Here is a 12862-nt window from a genome sequence, read left to right as displayed (position 1 = left end):
TTTGGCTCTGTTTATATGCTGGAATACATTTATTGATTTGTGTATATTGAACCAGCCTTGCATCCCAGGGATGAAGCCCACTTGATCATGGTGGATAAGCTTTTTGATGTGCTGCTGGATTCGGTTTGCCAGTATTTTATTGAGGATTTTTGCATCAATGTTCATCAAGGATATTGGTCTAAAATTCTCTTTTTTGGTTGTGTCTCTGCCCGGCTTTGGTATCAGAATGATGCTGGCCTCATAAAATGAGTTAGGGAGGATTCCCTCTTTTTCTATTGATTGGAATAGTTTCAGAAGGAATGGTACCAGTTCCTCCTTGTACCTCTGGTAGAATTCGGCTGTGAATCCATCTGGTCCTGGACTCTTTTTGGTTGGTAAACTATTGATTATTGCCACAATTTCAGAGCCTGTTATTGGTCTATTCAGAGATTCAACTTCTTCCTGGTTTAGTCTTGGGAGAGTGTATGTGTGGAGGAATGTATCCATTTCTTCTAGATTTTCTAGTTTATTTGCGTAGAGGTGTTTGTAGTATTCTCTGATGGTAGTTTGTATTTCTGTGGGATCGGTGGTGATATCCCCTTTATCATTTTTTATTGTGTCTATTTGATTCTTCTCTTTTTTTCTTTATTAGTCTTGCTAGCGGTCTATCAATTTTGTTGATCCTTTCAAAAAACCAGCTCCTGGATTCATTGATTTTTTGAAGGGTTTTTTGTGTCTCTATTTCCTTCAGTTCTGCTCTGATTTTAGTTATTTCTTGCCTTCTGCTAGCTTTTGAATGTGTTTGCTCTTGCTTTTCTAGTTCTTTTAATTGTGATGTTAGGGTGTCAATTTTGGATCTTTCCTGCTTTCTCTTGTAGGCATTTAGTGCTATAAATTTCCCTCTACACACTGCTTTGAATGTGTCCCAGAGATTCTGGTATGTGGTGTCTTTGTTCTCGTTGGTTTCAAAGAACATCTTTATTTCTGCCTTCATTTCGTTATGTACCCAGTAGTCATTCAGGAGCAGGTTGTTCAGTTTCCATGTAGTTGAGCGGCTTTGAGTGAGATTCTTAATCCTGAGTTCTAGTTTGATTGCACTGTGGTCTGAGAGATAGTTTGTTATAATTTCTGTTCTTTTACATTTGCTGAGGAGAGCTTTACTTCCAACTATGTGGTCAATTTTGGAATAGGTGTGGTGTGGTGCTCAAAAAAATGTATATTGTGTTGATTTGGGGTGGAGAGTTCTGCAGATGTCTATTAGGTCCGCTTGGTGCAGAGCTGAGTTCAATTCCTGGGTATCCTTGTTGACTTTCTGTCTCGTTGATCTGTCTAATGTTGACAGTGGGGTGTTAAAGTCTCCCATTATTAATGTGTGGGAGTCTAAGTCTCTTTGTAGGTCACTCAGGACTTGCTTTATGAATCTGGGTGCTCCTGTATTGGGTGCATAAATATTTAGGATAGTTAGCTTCTCTTGTTGAATTGATCCCTTTACCATTATGTAATGGCCTTCTTTGTCTCTTTTGATCTTTGTTGGTTTAAAGTCTGTTTTATCAGAGATTAGGATTGCAACCCCTGCCTTTTTTTGTTTTCCATTTGCTTGGTAGATCTTCCACCATCCTTTTATTTTGAGCCTATGTGTGTCTCTGCATGTGAGATGGGTTTCCTGAATACAGCACACTGATGGGTCTTGACTCTTTATCCAACTTGCCAGTCTGTGTCTTTTAATTGCAGAATTTAGTCCATTTATATTTAAAGTTAATATTGTTATGTGTGAATTTGATCCTGTCATTATGATGTTAGCTGGTGATTTTGCTCATTAGTTGATGCAGTTTCTTCCTAGTCTCGATGGTCTTTACATTTTGGCATGATTTTGCAGTGGCTGGTACCGGTTGTTCCTTTCCATGTTTAGCGCTTCCTTCAGGAGCTCTTTTAGGGCAGGCCTGGTGGTGACAAAATCTCTCAGCATTTGCTTGTCTATAAAGTATTTTATTTCTCCTTCACTTATGAAGCTTAGTTTGGCTGGATATGAAATTCTGGGTTGAAAATTCTTTTCTTTAAGAATGTTGAATATTGGCCCCCACTCTCTTCTGGCTTGTAGGGTTTCTGCCGAGAGATCCGCTGTTAGTCTGATGGGCTTTCCTTTGAGGGTAACCTGACCTTTCTCTCTGGCTGCCCTTAACATTTTTTCCTTCATTTCAACTTTGGTGAATCTGACAATTATGTGTCTTGGAGTTGCTCTTCTCAAGGAGTATCTTTGTGGCGTTCTCTGTATTTCCTGAATCTGAACGTTGGCCTGCCTTGCTAGATTGGGGAAGTTCTCCTGGATAATATCCTGCAGAGTGTTTTCCAACTTGGTTCCATTCTCCACATCACTTTCAGGTACACCAATCAGATGTAGATTTGGTCTTTTCACATAGTCCCATATTTCTTGGAGGCTTTGCTCATTTCTTTTTATTCTTTTTTCTCTAAACTTCCCTTCTCGCTTCATTTCATTCATTTCATCTTCCATTGCTGATACCCTTTCTTCCAGTTGATCGCATCGGCTCCTGAGGCTTCTGCATTCTTCACGTAGTTCTCGAGCCTTGGTTTTCAGCTCCATCAGCTCCTTTAAGCACTTCTCTGTATTGGTTATTCTAGTTATACATTCTTCTAAATTTTTTTCAAAGTTTTCAACTTCTTTGCCTTTGGTTTGAATGTCCTCCCGTAGCTCAGAGTAATTTGATCGTCTGAAGCCTTCTTCTCTCAGCTCGTCAAAATCATTCTCCATCCAGCTTTGTTCCGTTGCTGGTGAGGAACTGCGTTCCTTTGGAGGAGGAGAGGCGCTCTGCATTTTAGAGTTTCCAGTTTTTCTGTTCTGTTTTTTCCCCATCTTTGTGGTTTTATCTACTTTTGGTCTTTGATGATGGTGATGTACAGATAGGTTTTCGGTGTAGATGTCCTTTCTGGTTGTTAGTTTTCCTTCTAACAGACAGGACCCTCAGCTGCAGGTCTGTTGGAATACCCTGCCGTGTGAGGTGTCAGTGTGCCCCTGCTGGGGGGTGCCTCCCAGTTAGGCTGCTCAGGGGTCAGGGGTCAGGGACCCACTTGAGGAGGCAGTCTGCCCATTCTCAGATCTCCAGCTGCGTGCTGGGAGAACCACTGCTCTCTTCAAAGCTGTCAGACAGGGACACTTAAGTCTGCAGAGGTTACTGCTGTCTTTTTGTTTGACTGTGCCCTGCCCCCAGAGGTGGAGCCTACAGAGGCAGGCAGGCCTCCTTGAGCTGTGGTGGGCTCCACCCAGTTGGAGCTTCCCGGCTGCTTTGTTTACCTAAGCAAGCCTGGGCAATGGCGGGCGCCCCTCCCCCAGCCTCGTTGCCGCCTTGCAGTTTGATCTCAGACTGCTGTGCTAGCAATCAGCGAGATTCCGTGGGTGTAGGACCCTCTGAGCCAGGTGTGGGATATAGTCTCGTGGTGCGCCGTTTTTTAAGCCGGTCTGAAAAGCGCAATATTCGGTGGGAGTGACCCGATTTTCCAGGTGCGTCCATCACCCCTTTCTTTGACTCGGAAAGGGAACTCCCTGACCCCTTGCGCTTCCCAGGTGAGGCAGTGCCTCGCCCTGCTTCGGCTCGCGCACGGTGCGCGCACACACTGGCCTGCGCCCACTGTCTGGCACTCCCTAGTGAGATGAACCCGGTACCTCAGATGGAAATGCAGAAATCACCCGTCTTCTGCGTCGCTCACGCTGGGAGCTGTAGACCGGAGCTGTTCCTATTCGGCCATCTTGGCTCCTCCCAAAATACACTTTTTTTTTAACAATCTGGCTGTTGTACAATTTAAGATATTCCCCAGAAAATCAAGAGCTCTCTGTTGTAAATTACATAAAACATAGATTCAAAATATTAAATAAATTGTGTGATTACATCTAGATCGAGGTGGAAAAGCAAAGGGGAAAATCGCATGAAATGTAATTAAACAAGCAACAGATAGACCACATAAGGCTCTGAAGGCCATGGTGAGGATTTCACATTGTATTGCATTGGAAAGTCCCTGGAGAGTTATGGGCAGAGGAATAACAAAAGCTGACTTGCATTTTTAAAGGATAATAGATAGGTATTTTATCCTCATTTTATAGATGAGGACACTGAGGTTCACAAATGTTAAGAACCTTGCTCAAGGTCACAATGCCAGTAAGTGGCAGGACTGAGATTCAAGTCCATGCTCTTCCCATCTCTTACAATACCTCTCAAAACTCCTTTACTTCAAGACTCAGTAACACTACCACCTCAATCTCTTCATACAGCTCTGTCTGCTTCTTTCTTTTCCTCTGCTCCAAATATAAGCATTCCCTAGGTTGTCTTCTCTTTCTAAACTCTCTCCCTCGTCGACCTAACCCATAATCATGGGCTCAACTTTCATCTCTAGGATTAGGACATATAAACCTAAATCTCTAGCCTCAGTTTCTCTCTACCCCTGCATTTCTCAATGTCTCATGGTCATTCTCCACTTACATACCGCACTGGTAATTAAAACTCAGTATGTCCCAAAGCAAGCCAGTATGTTTCACTGAAAATATTTTTTCCACAGCACTAACTTCTACATATCCTAATAAGCAAGGCTTAAAATCTTACAGCTTTATTTGATCCTTCGAACTTACATCTTTAAAACTGAGTTACTGGGTTTGTTTTGTTGTTTGTTTATTTGTTTGTTTGTTTGTTTTTTGAGACACAGTCTCGCTCCGTCTCCCAGGCTGGGGAGCTGAGATCTCCACTCGCTGCAAGCGATTCTCCTGCCTCAGTCTCCCAAGTAGCTGGGATTACAGATGCCCACCACCACGCTGGCTAATTTTTGTATTTTTAGTAGGGGAGGGGTTTCAGCATTTGACCAGGCTGGTCTCGAACTCCTGACCTCAAGTGATCCTCCCGCCTCAGCCTCCCAAAATGCTGGTATTACAGGCATGAGCCACCATGCCCGGCCTGAGTTACACTGTTAATCTAATAGTTATATATACTACTTTACTTTTATTTTTATCTGTACCTTATGGCATTTATCTCAATGAATTTGCATTACAGGAGTATATGTGCCTAATCTCCCCTCCTAAACTATAAACTCAATGTAAGAAGTATGTCTCATTCATTTTATTCTTCACCATACCACATAGCACACAGCTGCCACAAACAGCACCCTGCAAATAGCAGACTCAATAAATACTTGGTAAACAAATAGGGGACAAATATTTCAATACCAATAGTCTAGGTTCAGATATTACTAAACTAATCATCAAATATCAGTCTCCCCTTCACCATATATTTCATCAATATTTATTGGCAAATAATGAAAAGAAAGTTTTTAAGAGTCAAAAGTTCAAGCATAGTTTTCTAAAAAATGAATAAAAGGCCTGATTATTCAGACTAATCTCTATCACAATAAAATCAACTAATTAGTTGGATATGAAGGCAATCTGATGGAAAATCTGTTACCAGAGGGATTATTAGTGTAGAATTGACTCCCTCATTCCTCCAGGTGGGTCTCTTTCTACCAATATGTATTTTTATCCCTCATCTATGACAACTAAGAGGCAAATAATGGTAAATCAGAATTGGCCTGCTCTACTCAGAGTTAGCTGCTACAGAAAACAGTGAGTTGAGAAAGTGTTTACTGCAATACTAAGCCCTTACCTCTCAACTGGAAGCGACATGCTAGAGGCTGTAGTTTGTACTCAACAGAGAGCAGCCAAAGAATAACAAGAACTCACATATAAAAACAACTTCAGCCGGGTGCGGTGGCTCACGCCTGTAATCCCAGCACTTTGGGAGGCCGAGGCGGGCGGATCACAAGGTCAGGAGATCGAGACCATCCTGGCTAACAGAGTGAAACCCCGTCTCTACTAAAAATACAAAAAAATTAGCTGGGCGTGGTGGCAGGCACCTGTAGTCCAAGCTACTCGAGAGGCTGAGGCAGGAGAATTGCATGAACCCGGGAGGCGCAGCTTGCAGTAAGCCTAGATCGCGCCACCGCACTCCAGCCTGGGCAACAAAGCCAGACTCCGTCTCAAAAAAATAAAAATAAAAACACCTTCAACAAACTCAAAACGTCACATTAATGAATAGGAAAACCCATTATTCAATTGTTCATTTAAAAAAGACCACATGACGGCCGGGCGTGGTGGCTTACGCCTGTAATCCCAGCACTTTGGGAGGCTGAGGTGGGTGGATCACGAGGTCAGGAGATGGAGACCATCCTGGCCAATACGGTGAAACCCACCTCTACTAAAAATACAAAAATTAGCTGGGCGTGGTGGCGCGGCCTGTAGTCCCAGCTACTCGGCAGGCTGAGGCAGGAGAAGGGCGTGACCCCAGGAGGTGGAACTTGCAGTTAGCCGAGATTGTGCCACTGCACTCCAGCCTGGGCGACAGAGCAAGACTCTGTCTCAAATAAATAAATAAAACCATATGACTTATATCTCCAAAGAGATAATAAGAAATTATGTAAAAATCATTTAGTTATTGAAAAGAAAGATAAAGTGAGCCCCTTATTTACACCCCCATAAGTTAGGTCTCAAGCAAAAATCAAAGAGGGATTATGCACACATTTACAATTCCATGGTCTCCAAAGCTCAGATAATCTAGACAGATATTCTGAGTAGTTTACATTCTTTAATGACTTCAGGGTTTCTTATTTTATTTTTTTAAGCCAAAAACAAAAACAAATGCCTATTACCAAAAACTTTTTAGTCTCATTGCTGGTCTTGTAGCCTCTAGAAAACTTGCTAAAGCACTCACTGCCTTAAAACACTCAGTCTGTATCACTGAACTGATTTTTTCAATCAGTGGTTTTCAAGCCTTTAGCAACCAATGAGACTGTCCATAAACCGTTTTTTATTCCTAGAAATTTCAACTCTGGCTTAAATGTTTATTCAGAGCCTAGAAGTGATTAACTGATCCTTAGTAATCTAACAGATTTGTTGGATTACATGGTTCAAAGGGAGTAAATATTGAGTAAACATGTTCATCCACTGAAGAGTCTAAACATCTAAAGGTCAGTGAAAAAACAGGTTTTAAAATCATTCTTTCCCAAAAATGCAAAAGATTCTACTTTGGACTCAGCTAAAGGTAAATGCCAGTACCTTAATCTAGAGGTCCTAAAGAAAACCAACTAGGAAAAGAAAGGTCTTAGTGTTAGAACCATCTGAGGTTAGTGAACAAGTTTTCCTTCTTAGGGAAGGTACCTAAGAATCTCAACAGCATAGAATCCATACTCCCAAGTGGGCAACTGTATATTCTAAATTTGCCACAAAAACAAGGGCCTTATGCTTTCCTTAATCTTAGTGGTAGTCTAGGGGTTAAACAGTTTTTTTTGTTTGTTTGTTTGTTTGTTTTGAGACAGAGTCTCGCTCTGTTGCCAGGCTGGAGTGCAGTGGCGTGATCTCTGCTCAGTACAACCTCCGCCTCCCAGGTTCAAGTGATTCTCCTGCTTCAGCCTCCCGAGCAGCTGGGACTACAGGTGCACACCACCATGCCCAGCTAATTTTTGTATTTTTAGTAGAGACGGGTTTCACCATGTTGGCCAGGATGGTCTCCATTTCCTGACCTCGTGATCCACCCGCCTCAGCCTCCCAAAGTGCTGGGATTACAGGCGTCAGACACCGCACCCAGCCAACAGTTTAATAACTGTTTCATATGTATGTGTGCAGCAAGGGGTACCACCTATTTAGAATATGTAGCAATAACTAACATTCAAGAAATACAATATAAAATTCTAAAATATATTTTTGGTACATGCATACATTGTTACCGTATATCACAAAATATGTAAGAATCTGCTTTTTAAAAAAACTACAGAAATAGGCTGGGCCCAGTGGCTCACTCCTGTAATTCCAGCACTTTGGGAGGCTGAGGCAGGTGGATCACCTGAGGTCAGGAGTTCCAAACCAACCTGACCAACATGCAGAAACCCCGTCTCTACTAAAAATACAAAATTAGCCGGGCGTGGTGGTGCATACCTGTAATCCCAGCTACTCGGGAGGCTGAGGCAGCAGAATGGCTTGAACCTGGGAGGCGGAGGTTGTAGTGAGCCGAGATCACACCACTGCACTCCAGCCTGAGCAACAAGAGCGAAACTCTGTCTCAAAAAAAAAAAAACAAAACAAAACTACAGAAATAAATGATGAGTGAGAGCTGATATTCTTTACAAATTGTGAAAACACAAAGATTCACTATTATAATAAAAGGAATCATACATCTACATTTTGAAATAGTTTAAACAGTAGAAGATGAATACCGACTAAACAGTTGTAGATACTAAGATTAAAAGAAGCATGAGGGCAAATGTATAGAACAAGAAAGTAAATATGACATGAAGAAATCAGTTTAGTACAACACACATGATAATGTTTCCAATGAAAAGCAGATACATAAGACCCATTTTATAGGCTCCAGAAAACACTCTTGATAAAAATCTTCCTTCATGTTGGGGCTCAGAATACAATACCACAAAATGAAGGCCTCAGAAGCAGCCTTAGAAGCAGAAGTTTTTTTCTGACCTTCTCCTGCTCTCCTGTCTCCTAGTCCCACTCTCCCCTGAGCTAGCCTTAGAAACTAGAATTTTCCCCAAGGCAGGTCATAAAAACCAAAACCTATTTTCCCCAAAGCCAGCCATAAAACTTAAAATATCATACTAACTTTCCCTTTGCCTTTCCATGTAAAAACTGGCCATAAAGAAACTATCTGACCTACCTTGTTTGACTGTAGGTCATAAGCCCCCATTCCAGAGAGGGTCCTGCCCCATACTCAAAAGAAAAGAAGGAATGCTCAGAGAGGCCAAGAAGAATTTAGACAGAGAGGCCAAGAAGAATCTAGACAGACAGACCTTGCTTCCCCAATCAGTCTATTACCATTATTGTCCAATCACATTTCTACATAGCTGTCTATACTTCGTTGAACCTAAGCATAAAAACAGATAATTTCCCCTGTATTTTTGGGTCTTCATTCTGAAGGCTCCCGTGTATACACGTTAAATAAATTGGTACATGCCCTTTCTCCTATTAATCCATCGGCCTCCTGTCAGTGATTTTTGGTGAACCTTCAGAGGGCCAAGGGGAAAGCTCTCCATTGGTCCCTACACCAGCTTGTCTTTAGAACTTCTCCATTTCTAGCAATAATGGCAACTGCAACAATCTGACTTGACAACCTAGAAGTATAAAGAAGTCCTCATACTGCCCCAATATCCTTGGTCTCTAAGTCCTGTTCATTCTGCCACAAAATGCCTCTAGAACTGCCCTTTCATCTTCTCTGGCAGACCTGCCAAATATGTCTTCACTCCCGCACTATTCATATGCTTATTCATTCATACCTTCACTCATTTAGACATATATTAAGCATTTAATGAGGTACTACACTAGTCTAAATACAAACCACTGTTTTAACAGAAGATAGAGACATATATCATAATTAATGCACTATTACCCTATTTAACTCCTCACAACAGACCTTAAAAAATGGGTACAATCATCTTCTGCAAAGCAAGGGGACTAAGGCTCCATGCGATTCGGTAATTTTTCTAAAGATCATATTGATAGTAAATTGCAGGGTGAGATTCCACAGGAGTTCTGACTCTTTCCACTACTTAGTGAAATTGCTGCATCAATTTCTCAAAAATCTTTTCTATCCGGTCTTCCCAGTGCTACCAGATTTAGCATCTGAAAGCATCATTTTGTACTTGTAACCCCTTTGTTCAAAAAGAAACCTCAATAGCATGCACACAGAACAGTGGCTCCTTTAGCCTGTCCTTCAGTCTTTCAGTCAAAAAAAAAAAAAAATGAGAACCGAATCCTGTCTTTTTCCTTACTAGCTCTAAATCTTGTGAATCACTTAATGTCTCTAACCTTCAGGTATCTTACCTATAAAATGGGGATAATAAGCTGGGGTTGTGTAAGGGTTAAAAAAGATAAAATACGTAAAGGACTAAGCACATAATAAATGTAAGTTGTTATCGCTCACAACTCCTGTACGCAAACGTTCTGTTATAGACAATGTATTCATTGCTTCTCTTACAAAACCACTTAGTTTTCTGCCTCAGTTTACATTATCCTCCCTCCTCTCCATTAAGAATAGGTATGCTATAAATGTCTACTGCATGAATAAATGTCTGTATAGCCTTACCCTCAAGGCACAAGTCAAGGGCCACCTACTTCAAGAGGCCTTCCCTACCCACCTTCCATGAACTTCACTCTTAAGTGCCACCGGAGAAGGGAGGAAGAAAAATATGCGTAACTATTCAAAACCTATGATAAACTAGAAAATATGTGATACATCATCAATGCATGATTTCATTTAATTCTCAAAAAGAAAGATAAAGTAACATATACAAAGTCAAATAGCTGGTAAATGATAGAGCTGAGATTCAAATCCTGATACCCTGATCCCTTTTTTTTTTTTTTGTGATGGAGTTTTGCTCTTGTTTCCCAGGCTGGAGTGCAATGGCATGATCTCAGCTCACTACAACCTCCACCTCCCAGGTTCAAGTGATTTTCCTGCCTCAGCCTCCCGAGTAGCTGGGATTACAGGCATGTGCCACCACGCCCAGCTAATTTTATATTTTTCGTAGAGATGGGGTTTCACCATGTTGGTCAAGCTGGCTGGTCTCGAACGCCTGACCTCAGGTGATCCACACACCTCGGCCTCCCAAAGAGCTGGGATTATGGGCGTGAGCCACTGCACCTGGCCTGATCACTTTTTAAAGTCCAATTTCTTTCCACCACACCACCTTGCATCTTAGTACATGGGGGTATACATTTAATCAACTATCCAACACTCACAAAGAGAACAGCTATATGCTCCAAGTAGCCCCACCCATACCTACATGGATAACTGAAACAAAACTGTCATGAAATAATGCTTACCCTTAGTATGCGCAATATGTCCTAACATTTTTTATTTTCTTCCATTTCACTAATATAAAATAAAATGCTATTCAGTTCCCACTAATTTTATTTCACAACTACCGAGGAGTAGCAACCAAAATTTTCAAATACACAGATGTAAGGGTACAAGGCCACATGAGATGGAAAATTTATCCTCAATAAGTACTTAATCTTGTTGGAGATATAGTAGTAAAACACAACTCTTTTCCTGAACACCCCCAACCTACCTTGTTGGAGTAGGAGAACCTATGTTTCTATTGCTACCCTGAATGTCCCTATCATAGACTATAATCCATAAATTGTCTAGGCTATTGATATAACAAGTATCAGGCATTCAACAAATATTTGTTAAGTGAATGAATTAATGAATGAAAAGTGCTATGGATTTTCAGAGGGAGAAGTAGATAGCATAAACTCTCTTTCCACCTATATCATAATCCTCTCACAGCAGGAACAATCTTTTCTATAGTTGTATATCAAGAGCTCAATAATGTTTGTAGATGTTTTATTTTTTACAAATCTGAGCCTTATGCAGTGAGCCGTGATTGCGCCACTGCACTCCAGCCAGAATGGCAATACAACAAGGCCCTGTATCCAAAAATAAAAAGAAAAATTCTGAGACATAGACTGGCCACAGTGAATGTGGAAAAGCAGATAAACATGAATCTTTGCCAAAGAAAATCAAGGAAAAAATTTCCAGCTCCAATAACAATTACTGGCCTCTACTCTAGATCTTTATTATTCAAAGTGCAGCCCCCACCATCAGCATTACCACGAGTTTGTTAGGAAAGCAGAGGTTCAGGCCCCACCAGGACCTAATGAATTAGAACCCCCATTTTAACATAATCCTCAGAGGATTCCTAACATACATGAAAATGTGAGAAGCATCAGTCTATACAATAAAAATGAAATGGGTGCCTGCAACCTCAAACAAAGTCATCACCTTCTCCTGTGTTATCTCTGAAATACATAATCAGACTTTTCAAGAAGTACTACAGATACAGCCATGACACACTTTCAGGAACATTAGGGTATAAATCTAAATTACTTCAATGAGAAATAATAATTGATCATCTGCTGAATATTGAAACTTTTAGAAGACATACAAAAAATATGATCTGTCTTCTTAGGACACAAACTGTAAGGCAAGAAAATGAGACAATGCACTTCAATGGCCAAAGTAATAATAAATCTTTAATATCAAGGATAAGATTATTGAAAAAAAGATTTTGCGGAGAACATTTAAGAGCATCTTTAATAGTCCTCAGTGTTACATATACATACTGCCAAATATTCCCTATTAATTGCCCTGTATGTAAAGTTGTGTAACAGAAGGTCCTAGGTGACACAAAGTCAGATGTCCTAACCAAGTTCACTGACTGAAAGACTGGCATCACCCTTTAAATCACCACACACAATCTCAACCCAGGAGTCTGTTCTGTGAACTTGCAAAAACACTTGCAAAACCCCCAAATCACAATCCTGTCATCTCAAAACTGAGTCAAGATCTGAGGCCACAGGGACTTAGGGCCAAATATGCCTTCTTCATTAAAAAAAAAAAAAAAAAAAAGCAAAATAAAACAGGGGAAACTAGATGAGGAAAGATTGCAGGTCCTTCTCATAGCCTCGCTGACCTACAAATACCTCTCCATCACAAGGCAGGCCAGAGGAAAATAAGGCTGGTCTTTGAATTAACGTTTTTAAGTGTCCTAAACTTAATTCTAAAAGTTGGGAGCCATCCTCTTCCTAGCAACAGGCATTCAGATGACAGCTCAATCTCTAATTCCCCTCCTCCTTCTCCCTTGCAGGAATTGGTATATCCTTCCCTTGCGACCTCCCCCTTCCCCCTACCGACCCCCCAAAACACTCCGACCCCTCCAAAAGAGAGCCCGACACAAGGCAAGTCCCCCAGAGCCCCTCGGGAGCACCAACTGCAGCCCCCGGCCCATCTTCCAGACTAAACTCGCCCTGCGGGACGGGTGACGG

The 12862-nt window shown here is 41.3% G+C and overlaps 1 protein-coding gene across 3 annotated transcripts in view; it reads right to left on the bottom strand.

The window, feature by feature from the left end:
• Positions 1 to 12862, bottom strand: part of TMEM135 (transmembrane protein 135) — a 290891-nt gene that overhangs the window by 277769 nt on the left and 260 nt on the right. The gene's annotated exons all lie outside the window — the stretch shown is intronic.

The sequence above is a fragment of the Homo sapiens genome, chromosome 11 (genome assembly GCF_000001405.40).
Source record: "Homo sapiens chromosome 11, GRCh38.p14 Primary Assembly".
In the NCBI taxonomy this organism is placed as follows: Eukaryota; Metazoa; Chordata; class Mammalia; order Primates; family Hominidae; genus Homo; species Homo sapiens.
This window is presented reverse-complemented; position numbering and strand designations above follow the sequence as displayed.